This window comes from Homo sapiens, chromosome 2, assembly GCF_000001405.40.
Source record: "Homo sapiens chromosome 2, GRCh38.p14 Primary Assembly".
In the NCBI taxonomy this organism is placed as follows: Eukaryota; Metazoa; Chordata; class Mammalia; order Primates; family Hominidae; genus Homo; species Homo sapiens.
Genome location: NC_000002.12, coordinates 97136940 through 97164346, shown reverse-complemented (window position 1 = coordinate 97164346; position 27407 = coordinate 97136940). Strand labels below are relative to the sequence as shown.

At 35.0% G+C, this 27407-nt stretch overlaps 1 protein-coding gene across 50 annotated transcripts in view; it reads right to left on the bottom strand.

Annotated features, from left to right (window-relative positions):
- ANKRD36 (ankyrin repeat domain 36) overlaps positions 1-27407 on the bottom strand; it is a 151369-nt gene that overhangs the window by 100175 nt on the left and 23787 nt on the right. For 47 of the 50 annotated variants that reach the window (XR_007074204.1, XM_017004009.2, NM_001354587.1 and 44 more), the window contains 13 exons: positions 21679-21707; positions 21512-21584; positions 19801-19829; positions 19635-19707; positions 17831-17861; positions 14986-15052; positions 12408-12468; positions 11813-11843; positions 9606-9672; positions 6180-6240; positions 5692-5759; positions 2209-2248; positions 36-64 (listed from right to left, as the gene is read on the bottom strand). Coding sequence is in view for 49 of the 50 variants with exons in the window: in XM_017004009.2 (XP_016859498.1) it covers positions 36-64; positions 2209-2248; positions 5692-5759; positions 6180-6240; positions 9606-9672; positions 11813-11843; positions 12408-12468; positions 14986-15052; positions 17831-17861; positions 19635-19707; positions 19801-19829; positions 21512-21584; positions 21679-21707 (659 nt within the window). In the remaining variant the exon portion in view is untranslated. The remainder of the gene's footprint in view (positions 1-35; positions 65-2208; positions 2249-5691; positions 5760-6179; positions 6241-9605; positions 9673-11812; positions 11844-12407; positions 12469-14985; positions 15053-17830; positions 17862-19634; positions 19708-19800; positions 19830-21511; positions 21585-21678; positions 21708-27407) is intronic. The other 3 variants (XM_047444247.1, XM_047444245.1, XM_017004015.2) reach the window with 2 other exon arrangements.

The window sequence follows — 27407 nt, the reverse complement described above, 5'->3', positions numbered from 1 at the left end:
AGCATTTTGTTAATAATTAAAGAAAATATGTTTACCGTGAATAAAGGCGGTTGCTCAGGAGACACTACAAAGCAAAAGGAACACATAATTGACTACAGGTAAATATGACACAGCCTACCATCAATCATGCAGTGTTTGTATCCAGCTGAAATCTTCGTGCTTGCCCTTGAAATTGTTACCCATTAGGCTTTGGGTTGCTTTGCTCTTGTTTTGGTTAGCAAACAAACATGACAGGAATATACACATGAAAAATCACAATATAGATTCTATAAAACATGCAGTCCAGATTGCAAGGGTGAGATTAGGTTTCACATGACTACAAGTAACATAGAAAAGTATTTCTACCAATGTGAATCAGCTGGATGAAGCCAAAAAAGATGACGTCAAATGAGAGAACCAAAGCGGACCCCAGAAGAATAAATGTTAGAAACTATGAAGTTGCAATGAGAGTGCATGAAAATGTATCATTCGCGGCCGGGCGCGGTGGCTCACGCCTGTAATCCCAGCACTTTGGGAGGCCGAGGCGGGCAGATCACAAAGTCAGGAGATGGAGACCATCCTGGCTAACACGGTGAAACCCCGTCTCTACTAAAAATGCGTAAAATTAGCCGGGTGTGGTGGCAGGCGCCTGTAGTACCAGCTACTCAGGAGGCTGAAGCAGGAGAATGGCGTGAACCCGGGAGGCGGAGTTCGCAGTGAGCCGAGATCCCGCCACTGCACTCAAGCCTGGGTGACAGAGTGAGACTCCGTCTCAAAAAAAAAGAAAAGAAAATGTATCATTCGCTTCTGCTGGCAGGAAATGCTCTCAATCATTACTTTAGATATCTACTTGGAGAAAAATCGTTTCTAAAAATACTCATGTCATCCACAGTCATGAAGGCTTCTGATATTTTCAACTTCTGGATTCTCAACTTTAGTTCTCTTGCCATCTTTTCATTCACTTATGCAAAAAAAAAAGTATGCATTACACATCAAATAACTAATGAGTACTCAGATTTTCATTTACAAAATGTAACCAAAAATCTCTGAATCACCATTGACTTTTTTTTCATAACAATCAACTTTCTTTTTTTTATTTTTGACATGGAGTCTTGCTCTGTTGCCTAGGCTGGAGTGCAGTGGCACAATCTCGGCTCACAGCAACCTCCGCCGCCTGGGTTCAAGTGATTCTCCTGCCTCAGGCTCCCTAGTAGCTGGGACTACAGGCACATGCCACCACGCCTGGCTAACTTTTTGTATTTTTAGTAGAGATGGGGTTTCACCATGTTAGCCAGGATGGTCTCCATCTCCTGACCTCATGATCCTCCCGCCTCAGCCTCCCAAAGTGCTGGGATTACAGCCGTGAGCCACCGTGCCCGGCTTAATCAACTTTTACCTATCAAAATATTTGCCATGATTATTGACAGTTACACTTTTAGTACTCAAGAAAGAAATTTCTCGTTTGTTTTTTTCTAAAGTCAGTTTGATATGCTATAGCATAGCAGCCTCTGAGGTACATTTATACAATGGCTATTTCATCAAAAACAGCACTGTTTTTAAAGAAAACTGCCAATGTTTTGATATCCAAGTGCATCCCAGTTCACTAACAAACATGAATGAAGCGCATATCATTGATGTGTAACCCCTATAGAGAGAAGAAATGAGTTCCTGTGGTTTCCTGTCGTTTTTCTACCCTCTGCTTCCAGTAAGCTCCAAAGCAGCAATAATTTAATCTTCTCTTTGAGTGGGAATATACTGAGTCTACATAAAGTGAGTTCCCTCAAGTTTCCTCATCAGAAACCTCCAAATTACCTAGCCAGCTGCTTTCTTAATTTACACCATCCCACCTCACATTTTTTTGTAAATATACTAATGTCCATTTCTCAACAATGAACATTATATTTTGATCTACAAGTTTAAGTGTTCACCAAAGTTTTAAGAAAAAGTATGTTTAAATTAAATTATATTTACTATTAAAAATTAATAAATTATATTTATAATTTAATTAAAATTAGGCTTATAATTTAATGTAATTTAACAATTAATTTAATTTTAAATTTATTTTAAATTATATTTAAATTAGTTATATTTATTTTCAAAAATTATATTAAAGCATAGAAAATTATTCAGCTATATTCACTACCTCACCACCTTTGTTTCTTTGTACACAAAAAATAACATTATCATTATTTCATTGCTCTCATGGAGCACTTTTTATAATACCAATACCATTTGCTTTTTGTCCAGTTGCTGGTAGTGCTTTTCCTTCCTATTAAAAAAAAAAAAGAAATCTTCAGAAAATGTTATATTTACTACTCAATCAGTCAGTAATTCAAGAAACATTTTCTGTGTCTATAAATTCATAAGGTCTATACTGGAAAATCTGATAATATGAATAAAATACTAATTTTATTTATTTATCAAGTGAAAAAAGAAACTTATAAAAACAAAAGCAGAAAGACACAATTCATTATTTCTACAACTCAAGTCAATAAAATACAGTGACAGCACAAAGGCAATAACACTTATTTCTACTTGGGAAGCTTCTGAGACACTGCAAATTTAGGGTCCTATTTTTAAAATAGACAAGTGAAGACTAAGAGTGTGAAGTGTTTCTAGTGAGGGCAGCATGTGCAAAAAAATGAAACAGCATAGCCAATAAGAACTACCACAATAACGTGGTAAAACTTGGGCACAGACAGAGAAAGTGGAGTGGAGAGATAAAATGGGAGAAACAGGCCAAACCGCAAAATAAGTGTTATGCTAGAATGTAAATGTTTCTTTCGTGTAATGAGGGTCCAGCCATAAGCAGATGAGTTAGATCAAAGTAAACATGTTTAAGAAAGGTCACCCTGAAAGACATATACAGATAAACATGGGGAGAAGAGAGAAACAAAAACGAACATTCCAAAAGTATAGGGCAGACAGTGTATTACAGTAATAAGATATGAGAAATGGTTAAAGGTATTTTAAAGGTATTTTAAAGGTAGAAAATACAAAATTTGGTGAGTCACTGGATTGGCAATGTGAGGGAAACCTGGAGTGCAGTTTTTCTGCTTCAATGTTTCATTGCTACTTTCTTGGTGTTATTTACTAAAATTGGGAAGCCAGATGACAGAGTAGATTACAAAGAGTCAGGAAAGAATCTGGAAGGCAGTTTGAGACCTGTCAAATTTGAGGCACAAAGGGGACTTAGAAGACTGATCTGGGTAAATACATTTGGAGTAGAAATAGATGACCTTACTCAAAAAAACCATATGTTGTTGAGAAGGTCAACATTTGTAAAATATACTAAACTGGTAGGATTCGATAATTTAAACCTATGAAGAACCCTGAAGTTTTGAAAATAAAAAGAAAACAAAATATGGGATTCAAAATTTCAATTATATATTTCTATACTGGATTAAAAGATATAAAATATATTTTCTTAATGTATGCAGACATTTATTTCTGGAATATTATGGTCATCTGCACTTTTGAACTTAATGAAAACAGTTATCTAAAGGAATAATTCAAGTTATCCTAAGAAAGCTCATTTTTAAAAAATCATCTTAAAAGTTTTTAACTTGTATGAATGTTTATTCTATTATGGAATTATAAGGCATTTTAAGTACTACTAAAATATAAGAGAGAAATGTAAAACCTATTTTAAAGTTCATATGGTTTTCTGATTCTCCTGTAAATGATATACTAATAGCTCTAATTGCCTACTTATGCCATAAAGATAATAGTTAAAAATCAGAGAAAGGATCAAGTAAAATAATCATGTCACCATGCAAGCTGAAGATTTACATGTCTTCAAATACACTATGCCTGTCAGTCAGGACCCAATACTCACATGAAGAGAGAAGAAATTTATTTGAAACATCAAGTCAAAAGGATTCCTGAGCTTTAGAGCTGAATAAATTTATGTGCAAGGTATAACAACTATAAATACTAAAGTTAATAATGCTTCCAGAGAATAACACAAAATGTCCCAACTGTAGGAGATAATTTTAAAAGTAAAAAGTAATATTCCAGAGATAATTCTGTGTACTCTGTTGGCAATATTTCTTTCCTTACGATTCTATAAAAATAGGTACTTTGTTTAGAAAACAATCATGAGTGTTGACTGCATTCATCACATGTATGTTCTTAAGTACAGATGTTATCAGCACAAGGTAAGTCAGACTAGCTCCAGAAATAAGTAATAATTTATTTCTTTAAGAGGGTTCCAGGTTAAAAATATATTTTTTCTCATTCAATGAATATAAATTAGAAACCTCCTATAAAATTAACCAGAAATGGCTAGGCGTGGTGGCTCACGCCTGTAATCCCAGCACTTAGGGAGGCCGAGGCGGGCAGATCACGAGGTCAGGAGATCGAGACCATCCTGGCTAACACAGTGAAACCCCGTCTCTACTAAAAATATTAAAAAAATTAGCCGGGCGTGATGGCGGGCGCCTATAGTCCCAGCTACTCGCGAGGCTGAGGCAGGAGAATGGCGTGAACCCGGGAGGTGGAGCTTGCAGTGAGCCGAGATCGCCCACTGCCCTCCAGCCTGGGCGACAGAGCGAGACTCCGTCTCAAAAAAAAAAATTAACCAGAAATTTTAATTTTTATTAATTTATGTATTAATTAATTTTTATTATTTTTTATTATTTAATTACTTATTTATTTTCCCTCTTATTATCAAAAAAGGCTAAAACAGCTCCAAGATTATGGAAAAGTGAAATAAATTAGTTAAGCAACTTAGGAGTATACCAAATATTACTTTAAAAAACTTTTAACAAGAGTCAAAAAGTAATGATTCATTCAAAATCTGATATAGCCTAAAACACATTTTATTTTGCATTATCTATGAACACAGCATTCACTAGATAAAATATAAGACATCACTTTACTGAAATTTAAAAAAGTGAGGATGAAATTTTCTTTCCATTTAGAATTTTTAAATTAATAAATAGATGCATATATTTTCAGTGTACGTGTGATGATTTGATCCATCTATATAATCTAATGAGGGTAACAGAGATACACATTACCTTAAATATGTATGTTTTATTTAAACTAGAAATATTGAAGTTATTCTCTCCTGGCTATTTTTAAATGTAAAACAGAATGTTAAATACAGTCACCCATAAATTTTCTTCCAATCCTTTATTAAAATCACCCGTAAGTCACTCAGAAGAATCTGAGAATTTTTCAATTACTTGGCTTTCTTTTCTTAATCTATATTTAAAATAATTCTATAATTTGATATGGAGACATTCTACTGTCATTTAAATTCACTGTTTTTGAGGTGTTTTATACTAATCTTTGTCATCTTGACACTCTTATTCAACTCTGTATTCTTACTTCTTTCCCCTCCTCACCTTTGTATTTGTGGAGCTGTTCTTTCAGGTTGCTTTCTACTTCTTTCCTTCCCTAATGGCAAACCTAAGAATCATTTACTCCCATGACCTTTTAGGAATCCTAGTCCCATGCATACATTTCCCTTGTTGTCACACTTCTTTTCTATTATTACCTTGAGAACTTCCATTCCTTTATAGGATCCTTGTCATCGTTATAAAGACAGGGAGATGGCAAGTGAATAAAGCACGGGAAAAATATTTTCCAAATAAAACAATTTACCATTGTAAAACTAAAGATCATTAACAGATAAGAGTGAGTTGGTGAACAGGACTGGACTCTGATTATTCTATGTTGGCTTTTAACCACATCTTCATTTACCTTATCAACATTTTGGTCTTCAAACATGTTTCCATTTTCTGTTTTGTCAATGCCACATGCAGCATCTACTACAGTAAAAACAAAGTCAAGAGTAGATGAAATGCATGTAATTAAGAATCAAGAAATAAGAACCGGGTGTGGGGGCTCACAGCTTTAATCCCAGCAGTTTGGGGGGCCAATGCAGGCAGATCATATGAGGTCAGGTGTTCAAGACCAGCCTGGCCAACATGGTGAAACTCCATCTCTACCAAAAATACAAAAATAGCCAGGTGTGGTGGTGCACACCTGTAATCCCAGCTACTCAGGAGGCTGAGGCAGGAGAATCACTTGAACCCAGGAGGTAGAAGTTGCAGTGAGCCAAGATCATGCCACTGCACTCCAGCCTGGGCAACAGTGAGTAACACTCTGTCTACAAAAAATAAGAAAGAAAAAGAAAGAAAAAAAAAGATTCAGTAGATAATATAATAGTCAGGTTTCAAATAGCTTACAATTTTCTGCAGATTGTTGAGAAATAGTCCTTCTGTTCGTAAAGTATGGTTCTGAAATATTCTAGAAGACACAATAGGTTTAAGAATAACATGCAGCAAGTTAAAATAATGATAATTGCCACCATTACTACATGATCTAACACAAAAAGGATGGACTTTGAAGTCACTCATATGTAGATTCAAACCTCAAGTCTGCCATTTACTTATCTACATATTCACATGGGATGATGATTATGATTGGTGATACAGATATTCTCAAAATGTTACTCCTTTCAACCCCAGTTGAGTTATTATACAAATACTATGATATCCATTAGTTTCTTTTATTAACCACAACAAACTGGGAAAAAAATTTACTCATCTGTAATTTAGAGTATGACTGAACAAAACTAATAATAAAAAGTCAATTAATCACTTTATTTTTCAAAATACTTAGGCATGATATATATTTGTGTGAATTACTTTCTGCGGGAAAAAATGTGAGAATGTAGTTTTTAGTAGTACTATCTTTAAACAGTGTAAGTTGCTTCTATTCTGTGTGTCAAAAGCTAAAAACAAATTATTGTATAACCTCCGCTCCTTCCAAAAAAGACAGAACAAAGCAACCATCCACCTTATGGAGCAATGATTCATGAATGAAGGCCACACATAGTTACTAAATAGAAAGTTGTAACTAAGTATCCTGACAACAGAAACAGAGGTGAAATGAAAGAATAGACACTAAAGACATGCGGTCTGCAAGGAAAATATTAGACTGAGGTAAGTTATTTTTAAACAAAGGGGAAGGAGGGAGCAACAAACAAAAAAAGAGACATGACCAGTCAATCAAATATGAGCTTAAAAGAAAAGCTTGTGTTCATAATATATGCCTAATAATACTGGTTAGCATTTATTCGACAATTTGTTTTGTGTAAATACTTATGTAATAAAAAGTTTAATTTGTTTACTATAAAATAACACATCCCAAGAATTAACCATGATCATTCACCTGAAAGCTGAAACATTCTTACTACAAACAGAGAGAGAGAGAGAGAGAGGAAAAAAAAACAAAAACCAATAAAATTCCAGCAACTTAACACCTGGAGAAAGGATTTTTATTCAGAATTCGAAAGAGTAATGTATGTCCTTGAACAGACACTTCTCAAAAGAAGACATTTATGCAGCCAAAAAACACATGAAAAAAACGCTCACCATCACTGGCCATCAGAGAAATGCAAATCAAGACCACCATGAGATACCATCTCACACCTGTTAGAATGGTGATCATTAAAAAGTCAGGAAACAACAGGTGCTGGAGAGGATGTGGAGAAATAGGAACACTTTTACACTGTTGGTGGGACTGTAAACTAGTTCAACCATTGTGGAAGTCAGTGTGGCGATTCCTCAGGGATCTAGAACTAGAAATACCATTTGACCCAGCCATCCCATTACTGGGTATATACCCAAAGGACTATAAATCATGCTGCTATAAAGACACATGCACACGTATGTTTATTGCGGCACTATTCACAATAGCAAAGACTTGGAACCAACCCAAATGTCCAACAATGATAGACTGGATTAAGAAAATGTGGCACATATACACCATGGAATACTATGCAGCCATAAAAAATGATGAGTTCATGTCCTTTGTAGGGACATGGGTGAAATTGGAAATCATCATTCTCAGTAAACTATCGCAAGAACAAAAAACCAAACACCGCATATTCTCACTCATAGGTGGGAATTGAACAATGAGATCACATGGACACAGGAAGGGGAATATCACACTCTGGGGACTGTTGTGGGGTGGGGGTAGGGGGGAGGGAGAGCATTGGGAGATATACCTGATGCTAGATGACGAGTTAGTGGGTGCAGCGCACCAGCATGGCACATGTATACATATGTAACTAACCTGCACAATGTGCACATGTACCCTAAAACTTAAAGTATAATAATAAAAAAAAAAGAGTAATGTATGTCCTGAAAAATATGTATTTAATAGAACATGGTTGGGGCTTTAAAAATTTAAGAAAATTTAATCTAAAATCCTAATCTAAGCTTCCAGTTGGAAGATATTAGAAAACACGCTGTATCCGCCTTTCCTATTTCCTTTCCATCTTTTCCAATTTTCATTTTCTTCTATAACATATTTTCTCAGGATAACTCACCTCAACTTATAGATTCTCAACATTAGAACAAAAGATAAATTCAGAACATTCAAGACATTTAATAGATTTAATTATTAGATATCTTAGGCATATTATGTTACCTGTAACAGTCCATTAAAAAAAAGCCCATTTCCCTGTTTGTTGATTCACATTAAAAACTAATAAAATATTTCTTACATGCAAGACATTATTCTGGGTGCTTAAGATACATACAAATAGGTTTTCTAGCTTCAAGTGGCTCATAGTAATGCAGGAGTTTTACAATTATTTTTTCAATAACTAAGCACAAAAGCCTCTGAAATTTGAAATTTAGAATGAGATACAAAGACCCTGAGTGGATTTTTTTTAATTACAACGCAGAAACCATGAGAAATTAAAGTCTGATCATAGAAATATGAAGAGTCTCTGCTTATCAAACAGGTTGTTATTTTAAACAAAATGCATATTCTTCAATTAGATAAAGAGTTTAAAGTATACTCTTAATAAAAAAGACTTGGAAAACACACTGTAAACCCTCTCTACTGTAGATCTGAGAACAGAATTTAAATTTCTAATATTCCACAATTTTTTAAATTAGAGATAAGCTCTTGCTGTATTGCCAAGCTTGGTCTTAAACTCCTGGGATTAAGAAATTCTCCTGGCTTGAACTCTTGAGTAGGTGGGACTACAGGCACATGATACCATGTCTAGTTAAATTTCCACAATTTGTAATATTATTTTAGCCTAAATATATAGAACCAAGAATAAAAATAAAGAAGTAGCTCTCTGCAAAAATACTGTATGATGTTAAAATAGGTGTACAAGAAATGAAAAGAAACTATATGCTATGTGTAACAGGGTGATTCCATGATTCCCATAATAAGTCATCTGATGTAACAAAGATTCATTTAAACAGAGGTATTATTAGTCATACTCATATGATATACAACTCAGATTAAAAACACTTACTCAGATAAGCCTAGACCAAAATTTGTATCTCCTCTGTTGTGGGAAAGTGTTCCAAAACCATATTTTCCTGTCACTATGTATTTTCCAGCAATTTTTTTTTCAGATCACACCTCTCAAAGTATTTATCAACTATTTCTTATTTGCAAAGTAAAAAAAAATTAAAATTAACCCCCCCTATTTCTTTAAAATGGTTATCTCTAATAAAAGTTTTAATACTAACATAAAACAATGATAGGTAGACAATTGCTACCTATTATTTGCTAGAAGAAAATAATACAAAAAATGAGATTCAGAATGAGAAAATTAATTTCACAAGAGAGTACTCTACCTCAGATTCCAAAGCAAACTTATCCTTTGTCACAGGCTGTGCAAAACGGTCCAGTAGGTAGAGACACCTACAGAGCAAAAAGATATTACAAAAATGAGCACGTTCATTTCTTAAAAGAAAACAAAAACCGTCAGTCTATACATGCAGGTCCCCTCCAAAAAAAATGGTAAAACAAAGTCTGAGGAAACTCAGTTATCTGCATATTAAATAATATTTCTTGGTATAATTAAGATATGGCTTCCATTTTAGAAAACATTTCAGTTACCTATTTCTGCTGCCACTTCTCCCAACCTATGAAATATCCAATGCAGACTCACCCTTAAACCCATAACAAATAGTGACAGGCATTATAATGGCACAGCCAGACAATAATTTGTCCTTATAAATTATCTACCCTAAAGACTAAACTGAAAATCCAATTGATATCTGACACAACTTTTGTTACTGAACTGCAGTAAACCTGATAACCTAAAACAAGGTAGAAAAGGCACGGTCTCTTCTCCATTATCTATTTCTGATTCAAAGACTAATCTGTGTCACTGGAAAATGGGAGTCTTAGATCTTCAGCATGTAAGCTACTTAAAGAGGGCCCATTGATTCTCTTCACCCTAGAACACTACAGGGAACCCCCTGAAACACTGCAAATGTTTGAAAGCTGAGTGTACAAAAGTCAAAGTACAAATGTACTTTGGGAATATTCTTCACAGAAGATTAAAACATTAAAAATTATAAAATCCAATTATTGTCATTATATAGATCCTGCCTTATTCAGGTCCACAAAAACCAGCAAGCTTAAGAACCTTCATAGACACTCAGATATCCAAGAGAGGGACTAGTGGAAAAGTCTCCCTCCTGAGTACTTAGAGCTTCATTTCATTCATCACTATCTAAATATCTTCCTTCCTATGGGCTCCCCCTTCTGGATCCCTCTTCAGCAGGGATCCATGGCAATCTCCAATCTACATCTTCAAATTTGGCTGTCCCCTGCAAATTCCATTCTTATCCACTTTCATTGGGTTCAACAGCTCATTCAATTCTCATCCTCTTCCACTGTGTTCACTAGAGCCACTCCTGCTTTCTAAAACTAAAATCACTCAATGACAGAATGATGTAAAAGAAGACTGCGTTTTGAACTAAGAAACCTGAGTGCAATTCTCATTTCTCTGATTTACTGTATCCAAATAATTTTCTTTCTTTGAATTTCAGGTTCTCCACCTGAACAACCACTTGATCAGGATGTTGAGCAAGGATTCAAGTATAGAAGATATTTTGTTTAGTCTCTAGGATTTCTTAACATTCTGAAATTCTATGCACCTCTGATTTTGTCTATAGGAAAATGGGGACTACTTAGCTGTCTTAAATGAAAACTATAATAGAAGATCATAAACCCTTAGAAAAGCAGAAAAGAAAGTAAAAAGAAATCAAGAAAATATTATTAAAATGTCACAGAAGGAAAAAAAAGAATCCAGAAAATAAGAAAAAGCTTCAGCAAACTAGGCAGGGTACTCACTTAAAGAGAAAACCTAACTGGGTAGGGAGTAAGTGGAGAAATGAATTAGAAATATCCTTTTAATATATGCTAAATATAGTTAACATAACATGGACTATATTTAGATATTCTCCAAGCACAGTAAGATAATATTTTTCTAGGACTGGCCTGGTCTTGCTTATGAAAAACTTAGGGTCCTGTGGCCACAGATAACTGATAACTGCCTTTAAAATTTGATGGTTAAAAAAAAAAGTAATATGGTTACCACTGCCATTTCAAAATATTTGGAAAAACTTTTGGAGTAGCCAGGCTTCTAAATAACACTCTAAAGACAGTTAATATATAACAAAATGTGACTTTCTGAATTGATCTGATGTAAATAAGTACCATGGCCCCATTGCTGCATAGGCCTCTATCCATCTATGCTTAGGGGCAAATGAAGTGATTTGAGAGCCAGGCAGCATGATGGTCTAATGTTGGGTTGGCTACCTGTTAACTGTGGAATCATGAGCCAATATTTCAACCTCTTTAAAGCAGAGTTGCCTAATTAGTAAAAAAGCAATAACAGCACAAATAGTTTCTAAAGTTGTGTGACATGATAAATGTTAAGCATGTAATATGGTGTCCAGCACAGAGTAGAATACTAAACAAATACTAGTTTCTCTTCTCTCTATTCACTTAGTTAACATATCACTTTAAAAAATCTCTGAAATCATACCTGTCAACAGCCTCTTCAACAGGAGGAAGCACTATTAAAGAAAAAGTAAAATGCATTTTAAATCAACAATAGAACACTATAGAATACTAAAAACATAAAAGAGCACAGTGGCTTGTTCCTATAATCCCAGCTACTCAGAAGGCTGAGGCAGAAGTATCACTTGAGAAGCCAAGGAGTTTGAGACCAGCCTGGGTAACATAGCAAGACTCTATCCTTATAAACATAATAATAATAATCAACAAGGCCTGGTGTGGTGGGTCATGCCTGTAATCCTAGCAGCTTGGGAGGCCTAGGCAGGGGAATCACTTGAGGTCAAAAGTTTGAGACCAGCCTGGACAACATGGTGAAACTCCAAATCCACTAAAAATACAAAAATTAGCCAGGTGTGGTGGTGCACGCCTGTAATCCCAGCTACTCGGGAGGCTAAGGCAGGAGAATCACTTGAACCCAGGAGATGGAAACTGCAGTGAGCCAAGATCGCACCACTGCACTCCAGCCTGTGCTGCAGACTAGTAAGACTGTGTTTCACAAAGAAAAAAAAAAAACAAATGAAGAATCAGTAAATACTACAATAGGCAGCCTTCAAATAACTTACCATCTTTTATAGATCGTGGAGAAATAATCTTTCTCTTTGGGATGTATAGTTTTGAAATAATCTAGAAGAAAAACACAATAGGTTTAAGAATAACATGGAGCAAGTTAAAATAGGATAATACCCACCATTACTACATGATCTAACAGGAAAAGTATGGACGTTGAAATCACTCATATGTAGATTCAAACCTCAAGTCTGCCATTTACTAATCTACAGATTCACATGGGGTGATGGTTATGATTGGTGATACAGATATCTTCAAAATGTTACTCCTTTCAACCCATGTTGATTATTATACAAATACTATGATATCCATTAGTTTCTTTTATTAACCACAACAAACTAGGACAAAAATGTACTCATATGTAATTTAGAGTATTGCTGAATAAAACTAATAATAAAAAAAGTAAATTAATCACATTATTTTTCAAAATAGGTATGCATGATGTATGTTTGTGCGAATTACTTTCTGTGGGAAAAAATGTGAGAATGTAGTTTTTAGTAGTACTATCTTTAAATGGGTTGGCATCAGAAACAGCACAAGTTGCTTCTATTCAGCGTGTCAAAAGCTAAAAACAAATTATAGTACAACTTCAGCTCCTTCCAAAAAAGACAGAAAAAAGCAATCATCCACCTTATGGAGCAATGATTCACGAATGAAGGCCACACATAGCTACTAAATAGAAAGCTGTAACTAAGTATCCTGACAATAGAAACAGAAGTGAAATGAAAGAATAGACACTAAAGACATGTGGTCTGCAAGGAGAAAGTTAGACTGAGGTAAATCATTTTTAAACAAAGGGAAAGGAGGGAGCAACAAACAAAAAAAGAGACATGACCAGTCAATCAAATATGCGCTTAAAAGAAAAGCTTGTGTTCATAATATATGCCTAATAATACTGGTTAGCATTTACTCGACAATTTGTTTTGTGTAAATACTTATGTAATAAAGAGTTTCATTTGTTTACTATAAAATAACACATCCCAAGAGTTAACCATGATGATTGATCTGAAAACTGACACATTCTTACTACAGAGAGAGAGAGGGGGAAAGAAAAAAAAAAAAACAATAAAATTCCAGCAACTTAACACCTGGAGAAAGAATTTTTATTCAGAATTTGAAAGAGTAATGTATGTCCCAAAAAAAAGGTATTTAATAGAACATGATTGGGGCTTTAAAAATTTAAGAAAATTTAATCTAAAATCCTAATCTAAGCTTCCAGTTGGAAGATATTAGGCTGTATCCACCTCTCCTATTTCCTTTTCATCTTTTCTAAATTTTATTTTCTTCTATATGACATATTTTCTCAACATAACTCACCTCAACTTATACATTCTCAACATTAGAAAAAAAGATAAATTCAAAACATTCAAGACATTTAATAGATTTAATTATTAGATATGTCATGCATATTAGGTTACCTGTAACATTCCATCATGAGAAAGCCCATTTACCTGTTTGTTGATTCACATTAAAAACTATTAAAGTGTTTCTTACATGCAAGACCTTATTCTGTGTATTCCAGGACACATACAAATAGGTTTTCTAGTTTCAAGTGCCTCATAGTAATGCAGGAGCTTTACAATTATTTTTTCAATAACTAAGCACAAAAGCCTCTGAAATTTGAAATTTAGAATGCCATACAAAGACCCTGAGTGGATTCTTTTTAATTACAATTCAAAAACATTGTGAAATTAAAGTCTGACCATAAAATATGAAGAGTCTCTGTTTATCAAACAGGTTATTTAAACAAAATGCATATTTTTCAATTAAATAAAGAGTTTAAAGTATACTCTAAATAAAAAAGGCTTGGAAAACACAGTGTAAACCCTCTCTAATACAGATTTGAGAACAGAATTTGAATTTCTAATATTCCACAACTTTTTAAAATTAGAGATAAGCACTTGTTATATTGTCAAGCTTGGTCTTAAAATCCTGGGCTCAAGAAATTCTCCTGACTTGATCTCTTGAATAGGTGGGACTACAGGCACATGATACCATGTCTAGTTAAATTTCCACAATTTCTAATATTATTTTAGTCTAATTACAGAGCCAGGAATAAAAATAAAGAAATAGCTCTGCAAAAATACAGTATGATATCAAAATATGTGCACAAGAAATAAAAAGAAACTATATGCTATGTGTAACAGAGTGATTCCATGATTTCTTTGATAAGTCATCTGATGTATTAAAGATTCATTTAAACAGAGGTATTATTAGTCATACTCATATGATATACAACTCAAAGTAAAAACACTCAAATAAGCCTAGACCAAAATTTGTATATCCTCTACTGTGGGAAAGCATTCCCGAACATCATTTTTCTGTCACTGTGTATTTTCCAGCAATTTTTTTTCAGATCACACCTCTCAAAGTATTTATCAACTATTTCTTATTTGCCAAAGTAAAAAAAATTAAAATTAACCCCTCCCATTTCTTTAAAATGGTTATCTCTAATAAAAGTTTTAATAGTAACATAAAACAATGATAGGTAGACAACTGCTAAGTTTTAGAAGAAAATAATATAAAAAATGAGATTCAGAGGGAGAAAATTAATTTCACAAGAGAGTACTCTACCTCAGATTCCAAAGAAAACTCATTCTCTGTCACAGGCTGTGCAACAGCATCAGGTCTGTAGAGACTCCTACAGAGCAAAAAGATATTACAAAAATGAGCTCATTCATTTCTTAAAAGAAAACAAAAACCGTCAGTCTATACACGTATGTCCACTCCAAAAAAATGGTAAAACAAAGTCTGAGGAAACTCAGTTATCTGCATGTTAAATAATATTTCTTGGTATAATTAAGATATGGCTTCCATTTTAGAAAACATTTCAGTTACCTATTTCTGCTGCCACTTCTCCCAACCTATGAAATATCCAATGCAGACTCACCCTTAAACCCATAACAAATAGTGACAGGCATTATAATGGCACAGCCAGACAATAATTTGTCCTTATAAATTATCTACCCTAAAGACTAAACTGAAAATCCAGTTGATATCTGACACAACTTTTGTTACTGAACTGCAGTAAACCTGATAACCTAAAACAAGGTAGAAAAGGCACGGTCTCTTCTCCATTATCTATTTCTGATTCAAAGACTAATCTGTGTCACTGGAAAATGGGAGTCTTGGATCTTCAGCATGTAAGCTACTTAAAGAGGGCCCATTGATTCTTTTCACCCTAGAACACTACAGGGAGCCCCCTGAAACACTGCAAATGTTTGAAAGCTGAGTGTACAAAAGTCAAAGTACAAATGTATATGTTGTTAGATTGTTATTGGGAATATTCTTCACAGAAGATTAAAACATTAAAAATTTTAAAATCCAATTATCGTCATTATATAGATTCTGCCTTATTCAGATCCACAAAAACCAGCAAGCTTAAGAACCTTCATAGACACTCAGATACCCAAGAGAGAGACTGCTGGAAAAGTCTCCCTCCTAAGTACTTATAGCTCCATTTCATTCATCCCTATCTAAATATCTTCCTTCCTATGGGCTCCCACTTCTGGATCCCTCTTCTGCAGGGATCTGTGGCAATCTCCAATCTACATCTTCAGCCTAGGAAAGCCCAGATTTCTCAAAAGATGGGCTAACATAATTGAGAGTAGGAGCTCTCTATTCCTCTGCTTCTGGAAAGTAAGTTAGTCTCAGTCATCCACCCCAAGCATACGCATGTTACCAACTACCCAAATGAAGCTTCATTGCTGGTTTGCCGGCCAATCCTACATTTGTCCCACCCTACATGTACATGAGAGAATTGAGAAAAGAGTCAGAAAAAAAGAGACATCCACCCTGGATCACAGATCTATGTACTTAAGCAATCTCCAGCTCCCTGGTTCTTGAGGGATTCTAAGCCCTCTGTAAGCTGGGATGGAAGAAGATGATACCACATTCCTATCTCCTCTGGAGACTCTTTCCAGTGGCTCAAATTCTTTTAACATTTTTCAATAAAACCTTGAAGTTTGTTAGTTCCTCCAGTTAAACAAACAAAAAGGCAGCAAACTCTTCAGAACTCCTTGAACGCCATATTCTAATATGCCTTTCTTGATAGCTCCCAACATCCTGTGTTATCATTTCCCTTATCTTTATCAAACTTGCATTAAACCAAATATTCAGATTTTTCCCTAAAATCCTCATTTCTATCAAACTAAGAGTTTGTTTCTCTTCAAATTTGGCTGCCCCCTGCAAATTCCATTCTTATTCACTTTCATTAGGTTCAACAGCTCATTCAATTCTCATCCTCTTCCACTGTGTTCACTAGAGCCACTCCCTCTTTCTAAAACTAAAATCACTCAATGACAGAATGATGTAAAAGAAGACTGCGTTTTGAACTAAGAAACCTGAGTGCAATTCTCATTTCTCTGATTTACTGTATCCAAATAATTTTCTCTCTTTGAGTTTCAGGTTCTCCACCTGAACAACCACTTGATCAGGATGTTAAGCAAGGATTCAAGCACTAGAGGATACTTTGTTTAGTCTCTAGGATTTCTTAACATTCTGAAATTTTATGCACCTCTGATTGTGTCTATAGGAAAATGGGGAATATTTAGCTGCCATACATGAAAACTATAAAAGAAGATCTTAAACCCTAAGAAAAGTGGTAGAGAAAGTGAAAAGAAATCAAGAAAATACTAAAATGTCATAGAAGGAAAAAAGAAGAATCCACAAAATAAGAAAAAGCTTCAGCAAACTAGGCAGGGTGCTCACTTAAAGAGAAAACCTAACTGGGTAGGGAGTAAGTAGAGACATGAATTAGAAATATCATTTTAATATATGCTAAATATAGTTGTCATAACATGGTCTATATTTAGGTATTCTCCATGCACAGTAAAATAATATTTTTCTAGGACTGGCCTAGTCTTGCTTACAAAAAACTTACGGTCTTGTGGCCACAGGTAACTGATATCTGCCTTTAAAATTTTGATGGTTTAAAAAAAAGTAATATGGTTACCACTGCCATTTCCAAAATATTTGGACAAAGTTTTGGAGTATCTAGGCTTCTAAGAAATACTCTAAAGAGAGTTAATATATAACAAAATGTGACTTTCTGAATTGATCTGAGTTACACCAGTACCGTGATCGCATTGCTGCATAGGTCTGTATCCATCTATGCTTAGGGGCAAATGAAGTGATTAGAGAGCCAGGCAGGATGATGGTCAAATCATCGGTTGGCTACCTGTTAACTGTGGAATCATGAGCCAATATTTCAACCTCTTTAAAGCAGAGTTGCCTAATTAGTAAAAAAGCAATAACAGCACAAATAATTTGTAAAGCTGTGTGGAGATGACATGACATGATAAATATTAAGCATGTAATATGGTGTCTAGCACAGAGGAGAACACTAAATGGATACTAGTTTCTATTCTCTCTATTAACTAAGTTAACATATCACTTTAAAAAATCTGTAAAATCATACCTGTTTAAACACTGTTCAACAGCAGGAAGCACTATTAAACAAAAAGTAAAATGCATTTTAAATCAACAATAGGAACCTATAAAATATTAAAAACATAAAAGAGCACAGTGACTTGTTCCTATAATCTCAGCTACTCAAAAGGCTGAGGCAGAAATATCACTTGAGAAGCCCAGGCATTTCAGACCAGCTTGGGCAGCACAGAAACACGCTATCTTTATTTTTAAAAAGTTAAAAAAAAAAAAATCATGTAGGCAGGGCTCGGTGGGTCACACCTGTAATCCCAGCACTTTGTGAGGCTGAGGTGGGTGGATAACTTGAGGTCAGGAGTTCAAGACCAACCTGGCCAACATGGCAAAAGCCGGACTCTAGTAAAAACACAAAAATTACCAGGTTGGTGGTGCACATCTGTAAATTCAGCTACTCAGGAGACTGAGACAGGAGAATCACTTGAACCCAGAAGGTTAAAGTTGAAGTGAGCCAGGTTCACGCATATCTTTCATACAAGACATCAGAAGGATTTAAACAATTATACTACAAATATTCATCATGCTCTTTGACTTGCCGGACAATCCAGCAGGTACACAATGACAATTACACTTTAGATGAACGTGCACTTCAAAGCTCCTCAGTGGAAGTGTTCTGAATTGGTCAGCTTGGATATATGTTTGGTGAATCCTATTATATGCTATTCATTATTTTTCATACCCATGTGGTATAATAATGAGCCTACACTTTTGTATTTTCTGGTTTAACCTTCAGAAACTTTTGTCAGTCACCAATGGGAACAAGGTATTATATACAAACCTAATCAAAATGTATAAAAAATTATCAAATTTGATATACTTACACAAAATAAAGTTGCTACAAGCATTAGATCTGAATAAGGTTTTCCATTTGGAAATCACTCCAATATTAATTAAAAATAAATATTTTAGGTGTCAATTAAAGAATTTAATATTATTTTTGGTTCTAAAATAGTCTGGTTTGAAGGATCATGTTATTCACTAAACTGTTTTCATTAAATTGCTATTTTGTCCAAAAGTTAGCTCTCTGAACAACAAAGCCAATGTATGCATATTTACATTTATCTCATTTGACTCACTGATAACAACAAAACATATATCTCTGATGCCCAATAATAACAAAGAGGGGAAACAGGTGACTGTGGTTCATCACAATTCTAGCACTCTATCCTGCTTCCAGTAGTTCCTGGAGCAGCCAAAATCAAATTTTCCTTTATGCAAACATTCTAAACACATCTGAAGTGAGTTCCCTCAGGTTTCCTCAGCAGAAACCCTAAAATTAAACAAATAACTTCTTTTCCCTTCTTCCTGACTCACAATCCCTCTTCCCTGAGGAAAATAATTACTACATCAGTGGTCTTGTTACTTCTCATTCTATAGTGTTTATGGCTTATTACGATCATTTCTTCCCTCTGGTTTTAGCAATGTGATCAGGCGCCTATAATTTCTAGTACTTCATCTTGTTCTCCTTCCCCTCTTCATGGAGACATGCTGTAGAATTAAAGCAAAATTATGCTGTCCCCTCAGACTCTTGTATCTTGAACTGCTCTCCAATTGTTCTTCTTCCCAATTTCAATGTAGGGAAGTCTAAAATCTTACTACTCAGATCATGGCCAAAAATCAGCAGAATCACCATCACTCCAGAACTTATTACAAATGCAGAATCTCAGGCCCGCTGAATCAGAATGCGCAGCTTCAATGAGCCCCCTGCTGATTTATTTGGGGAAGGGAAGTTCTCTATCTTGACTGTACATGGCATTAAATGTGTATTGCAAAATTACCTGTCCCAGATTTTTGTTCATCTTTTATTTCTGTGGCTGTGTTCGAAACAGAATCATCCTTGTCACTTGTATCCTGAGTGGGATTTCAAACAAAATAATCAATACCTACAGTATATTCCATAGACTATACAGTTAATTATTCAAAATATGAATGAGAGTATAATACCTTCAAGGCCGGTTGTTTCTGAGAAGACACTGAAAACCAAAAGGGATACATAATCACTCATATGTAAATATGATAAAGTTATCCATACTTTCATGCAGTGTTACCATCAAGCTGTATCCTCCTGCCTGAATTAGCATAGGCTTTGATGTTTTCTACTTTGTGTATTGGGACAGGAACATGACAGAATTACACTGTAGAAAACAGAAGTATAGTCTTCACGCAACAAACACTTCCAATTTCATATGTGATATTATTCTTCACATGTCTATTACTACAATAAAACAGTGTCTATATCAATGTGGATATGCCGAGTGATGAGGACAAATGTGATCTAAAATCAGAGCAGTGACTCATACACTTGGGAATCAATGTCGAAGCAGGTGATTAATGCTCCTGCATGTTTTTCATGTAACACATCAGAGGGATTTATACCATTATACTACAAATATTTATCATGCTCTTAAACTTGCCTGACAATTGAGCAGGTACACAAGGACAATGGCACTTTAGTTGAATGTACACTTCCCAAGTGCTCTGTGGAAGTGTTCCGAATTGATCAGCTTAAATATATGTTTGGTGAATCCTAGCATATAATATTCCTTATTTCTCACACCCCTGTGGTGTCATAATGTGCCTACATTTCTTGGATCCTCTAGTTTAGCCTTCAGAAAGTTTCTTCACCCACTCATGGCAAGAAAGTATAATATACAAACCTCATCAAAAAGTATAATAAACCATCAAATTTGGCATACTTATACAAAATAAAGTTACTGAAATCATTAGATATGAATAAGCTTTTCCATTTGGAAATTGCTCTGATATTCATTGAAAATAACCACTTTAGGAGTCAATTAATGAATTCAACATTATTTTTGTTTCTAAAATAGTCTGGTTTGAAGGATCATGTTATTCTCTAAACTATTTTCATTAAATTGCTATTTTATCCAAAAGTTAGTTCCTTTAAAAACAAAGCAAATATATGCATATTCATGATTAGCCTATTTGAATAGCTAATACCAACAAAACATATATCTCTGATGCCCAATAGTAACAAAGAGGGGTAATGAGTCACTGTGGGTTATCACAATTCTAGCAATCTATCCTGCTTCCAGTAGTTCCTGGAGCAGCCAAAATCTAATCTTCTTCTATGCAAATATTCCAAATGCATCTGAAGTGAGTCCCATCAGGTTTCTGCAGCAGAAACCCCAAAATTACATAAATAACATCTTCTTTTCCCTCCTTCTTGCCTCAATCCCTCTTCCTTGAGTAAAATAATTACCACATCAGAGGTCTCCTTAGTTCTCTTTCTACATTGTTTATGGTTTATTCCAATCACTTCTTCCATGTGGTTTTAACAATCTGATCTGACACCTATAATTTTTATTACTTAATCTCTTTCTCCTTCCCTTTATGATGGAACTATGCTGTAGAATTAAAGTAAGAATATGCTGTCCCTTTGCCTGTTATATCTTGCACTGCTCTCCAATCATTCTTGCCAATTTCACTGTGGGGAAGAACATAATCTTAATACTGAGATCATGGCCAAGGACCAGTAGCATCGGCGTCACCCGAGAACTTATCACAAAAGCAGAATCTCAGGCCTGCTGAATCAGAATGTGCAGATTCAATGAGCTCCCTGCGATTTATTCAGTGAACAGAAGTTCTCTTCTATCCTGAGTGAACATGACATTAAATGTGTATTCCAAAATACCTGTCCCAGATTTTTGTCCATCCTTTATTTCTGTGGCTATATTTGAAATAGAATCTTCCTTGCCACTTGTAGCCTGAGTGGGATTTGAAACAAAATAATCAATACATAAAGTATATTTCACAGACTATATAGTTAATAGTTCAAAACAGAAATGAATGTGTAATTACCTTCAAGGCTGGTTGTTTCTGAGAAGACACTGAAAAGCAAAAGGGATACATAATCAATCATATGTAAATATGATAAAATTATCCATACATTCATGCACTGTTACCATCAAGCTGTATCCTCCTGCCCCTATTAGTTTAGGTTTTTATGTTTTATACTTTGTGTCTTGGGACTGGAACATGACAGAAATACACTGAAGAAAACACCAACACAGGCTTCATGAAAAATACACTTACAATTTCAAATGTGATATGATTTTTCATATGTCTAAAACTAAAATGAAACAGTGTCAGTATCATTGTGGATATATGGAGGGATAAAAACAAATGTGGTCTAAAAACAGAGAAGCAACTCATGCACCTGGGAATCAATGTCAAAGCAGGTGGTACATGCTGTCACATGTCTTTAGTGCAAGAGATGAGAAGGAAATACACCATTATACTACAACCATTCATCATGCTCTTTAACTTGCCCGATAACTGAGAAGGTACACAATTACGATGACACTTCAGCTGAATGTACACTTCACATCTCCTCAGTGGAAGTGTCCTAAATTGATCAGCTTGGATATATGTTTGGTGAATCCTAGTAGACAGTATTCATTATTTCTCAGAACCATGTGGTGTAATAATTGCCCAAGTTTCTTGTGTTCTCTAGTTCAGCCTTCTGAAAGTTTTTTCATCCACTCACGGCAATAAGGTATAATATATAAACCTCAATAAAAAGTATCATCATTTGTCAATATTGACATACTTCTACAAAATAAAACTGCTACAAGCATTAGATATTAATAAGCTTGCACATTTGGAAATGACTCCAATATTCATTGAAAATAACCATTTTATTAATCAATTAATGAATTCAACATTATTTTTGTTTCTAAAATAGTCTGGTTTGAAGTATCATGTTATTCTCTGAAGAATTTTCATTAAATTGCTATTGCATCCAAAAGTTAGCTCCTTGAAAAACAAAGCCAATGTATGCACATTCATGTTTATTTCATTTGAATAACTAATATCAACAAAATCTATGTCTCTGATTCCCAATAGTAACAAAGAGAAGTAACGAGTCACTGTGGTTTATCTGAATTCTAGTACTCTTTCCTTCTGCCAGTAGTTTCTGGAGCAGCCAAAATCAAATCATCTTTTATGCAAATATTCTAAATGCATCTGAAGTGAGTTCAGTTATACTTAGAGTCATAATTTAAAAAATCATTTTCTTTGTACTCATGAAGGCTCCTAATATTCCTACATTTCCCGGATTCAGCAGTTCAGCTCTTTTGCCATCTCTTTTTCCACTTTTGCAAAAACATACATGTCAAAGAAATCATGCATAATCAGATTCCCATGTAAATAAGGTAAACAAAATCTCTAAATCACAAGAGACTTCTTTTCTTATTAATAACCAACCAAATATATATATATGTAAATATATATATATATGTCATGATTGCCAAGAATATTGGTAGTTTTTTTTAGTACTCAAGATATACATTATTTTATTACTTTGTTTCTAAAGCTAGTTTGATATAATATACCATAGGGGTCTCTCAGGTCCTTTTATGAAATAACTACCTCAGCCAACACAGCTTTCCTAAAGAAAAAAAAAACACTTTTTCTAGATTAAGCTGCATCCCAATATGCTAACTGATGTGAACGAAGAACATATCATTGATGTGCAAAACTTCTAGGGAGGAGAAATGAAGCCCTGTGGGTCACCCTCATCCTTCTAACTTCCACTTTCCATTAAGTGACTCCCCACAAGTCTCCTCATCAGAAACCTGCAAATTACCTAACTAGCTGCTTTCTTTGTTTGCCTAATTTGACATACACTCTTTTTCATTCATAAATCTAATAACCATATTGGTGGACTTCATTCTTTGCCCTCCACATTCATTTCTTCATTATTCTCACCACTACTGTATGTGACATTCGTACAATCCCATTCTGACACATGTGAAGATAAGGTTTTGCTTTATTAAAATGTTAAATGTATCAGACACTTGACTAACGTGTACAAATTCCTTCTTCACAAAAGCAGCCCCATGGCTTCCTCTCTCCCATAGACACTCTTTCACAGCTGTTCTTCACTCACATTGGTTTGAGTATCTATCGTCTCTTATTTTGTCTCTATGCTTTCCCATCATATTATGAGTTATTATCATAGGCTCAGCAGCCTATCTTACCTATTTTCCTCTCCAGCAGACAGCACTGAGTAGTAAATTAGAATCTTCCAGGATATGAACACTTTCACATACGTAAGACTTTGTGGAGCTATTTTATGTTTAACTACACATAAAACCACTATGTCTATGCCTTCCAGAGAAATGGGTTCTGAAATGTTATTGAACATAACCTATTTAAAAACTTCTTTAACTCCAATGACACTGCCTCTCCTCAATGCACCAACATCTTCAGAAATAACTTGTGAAGACTTGAAAACATGTCAGTAATTGACATGAAAAATGAAGAATGGTGTAATTTTTTGCAGGTACAAATAAGACACGCTGAGATCCTTACTAGATCCAAGAAGAGCAGAGTGCCATGAGACAGGAAATAAATATGGAACAGAAATATTTTCATTTGTAATGAAAATTATTCTATTTACAGTTTTCAGAAGAGAAAAAAATACACACACACACAAACACACACACACATTCACACACAAAAACCAGAGCAATACAGCTTTACAGGGTGTTTTTTCTTCAAGGGCCTATTTGTCATTTGACATCCAGGAACACTCTATAGGGATCAACAAAGGGGTTCTAAATTGTGACCTGAGTAGATTAGAGTTTAACATTCATGAGGGGGAGCCAAGAGGACAAGTAACACTTTGACCATCGGCCATTTCCTCTCCTTACTGTCATTCTCTGAAAAGCACACACTGGATTTTCTCAGGGTCATGACATGTCAAAAATACATGCTTTAAGGGGGAAACAGTTGCAATCAACACAGCCATGGGAGAGATACAGCTATGCTTGCTAGGATTTCCCATACTTCTGTTTCATTTCTAATATAGTACAAATCAATAAAAGCAACCACATAAGCATATCCATGCTGGTATGTCACCATATTTATGTCCATATGGTATCAACACGAAGAGAGCATAATTAAATATGCTGCAGTCATCACATGGCATATCATTAGATCATACAATAAATCAAATACCTCACTGGGTCAACATGGATAGATCTGAAATATATATCACTGATTTTACAAAGACCAAGTTGCAGTCATTTTGTGCACTGTCTGAACTTTTCTACAAGGTTTTAATACACAAAATCAAGTTCTACATGTTATCTAGGAATATGCACATATGTTGTAAGAGGTTTTTAATGTGCATTTGGGTGATTTCTTTTTCTTTTTTTAAAAAAAAATTTAATTCAAGTTCTTGGTTACATGTCATCAATAAGTTTTAGTAGTATAGGGAACCCTAAGACCATAACAGCTCAGAATGACTGTCTTAAAGGCTATGTCTACCAAAGAGTCAGGAAAGCATGACTACTTACTTTCTTCATTTTTGAAACTCAGAGGTACCCCACACACACTCCCAAATAAAACTGCACACAAGTTCTTTAGTTTAGTTAGATCCCATTTGTCAATTTTGGCTTTTGTTGACATTGCTTTTGGTGTTTTAGTCATGAAGTATTTGCCCATGCCTATGTCCTGAATGGTACTGCCTAGGTTTTCATCCAGGGTTTTTATACATTGAGAACTTACTTTTAAGTCTTTAATGAATCGAGTTAATTTTTGTATAAAGTGTAAGGAAGGGGTCCAGTTTCAGTTTCCTGCATAAGGCTAGCCAGTTTTCCCAACACCATTTATTAAATAGGGAATCCTTTCCCCATTCCTTTTGTCAGGTTTGTCAAAGATCAGATGGTGTAGATGTATGGCATTATTTCTGAGGCCTCTGTTCTGTTTCATTGGTCTATATATCTCTTTTGGTACCAGTACCATGCTGTTTTCATTACTGTAGCCTTGTAGTATATTTTGAAGTCAGGTAGCATGATGCCTCAAAATTTGTTCTTTTTGCTTAGGATTGTCTTGGCTATATGGGCTCTTTTTTTGGTTCCATATGAAATTTAAAGTAGTTTTTTCTAATTCTGTGAAGAAAGTCAATGATAGTTTGATGGGTATAGCACTGAACCTACAAATTACTTTGGGCAGTATGGCCATTTTCAAGATATTGATTCTTCCTAACTATGAGCATGGAATGTTTTTCCATTTGTTTGTGTCTCTTATTTCCTTGAGTGGTGGTTTGTAGTTCTCCTTAAAGAGGTCCTTCAAATCCCTTGTGAGTTGTATTCCTTGCTATTTTATTCTCTTTGTAGCAATTGTGTATGGGAGTTCACTCATGATTTAGTGCTCTATTACTGGTGTATAGGAATGCTTGTGAATTTTGCACATTGACTTTGTATCCTGAGACCATGAGGAAGTTGCTTATCAGCTGAAGGAGATTTGGGGCTGAGACAATTTGTTTTTCTAAATATACAATCATGTCATCTGCAAACAGAGACAATTTGACTTCCTTTCTTCCTATTTGAATACCGTTTATTTCTTTCTCTTGCCTGATTACCCTGGCCAGAACTTCCAATACTATGATCAGAGTGAACAGGCAACCTACAGAATGGGAGGGAATGTTTGCAATCTGTCCATCTGAAAAAGGCCTAATATCTAGAATCTACAAGGAACTTAAATAAATTTACAAGAAAACAAACGATCTCATCAAAAAGTGGACAAAGGATATGAACAGACACTTCTCAAAAGAATACATTTATGCAGCCAACAAACATCTGAAAAAAAGCTCATCATCACTGATCATTAGAGAAATGCAAATCAAAACCACAATGAGATACCATCTCGCGCCATTTAGAATGGCAATCGTTAAAAGGTCAGGAAACAACAGATGCTGGAGCAGATGTGGAGAAATAGGAATGCTTTTACACTGTTGGTGGAAGTGTCAATTAGTTCAACCATTGTGGAAGACAGTGTGGTGATTCCTCAAGGATCTAGAACCGGAAATACCATTTGAGCCAGTAATCCCATTACTGGGCATATACTCGGTGTGTGTGTGTGTGTATATATATATATGTACAGTGGCTTGTTCCTGTAATCTCAGCTACTCAGAAGGCTGAGGCAGAAGTATCACTTGAGAAGCCCAGGAGTTTGAGAACAGACTGGGCAACATAGCAAGACTCTTTATTAAAAAAAAAATCATGCAGGCTGGGCACAGTGGCTCATGTCTGTGATCTCAGCATTTTGGGAGGCCAAGGTGGGTGGATCACATGAGGCCAAAAGTTTGAGACCAGCCTGGCCAAACATGGTGAAATCCCATCTCAACAAAAATACAAAAAAAAAGTAGCTGAGTGTGGTGGCACACGTATGTAATCCCAGCTACTCGGGAGGCTGAGACAGGAGAATCGCTTGAACCCAGGAGGCAGAGGTTGCAGTGAGCCAAGATTGTGCCATTCCACTCCAGCCTGGGTGACAAAGTGAGACTTCATCTCAAAAGAAAAAAAAAATTATGAACTTTTGTACATGCCTTAGACCTTGTAGGAAAAAAAGTATAAGACTTTGATGCTTTATTACAGAGACTCTCATGATTTGTTACAAAGCAGTTCTTTAGAAACATACTTGGAGGCTACACTAAAATTATTATTTATACTATTTGTAGGCAACTAATGAATTAAGAACCCTTTTTCCTTTCTTATGTGCTTAGCATATACTTATCA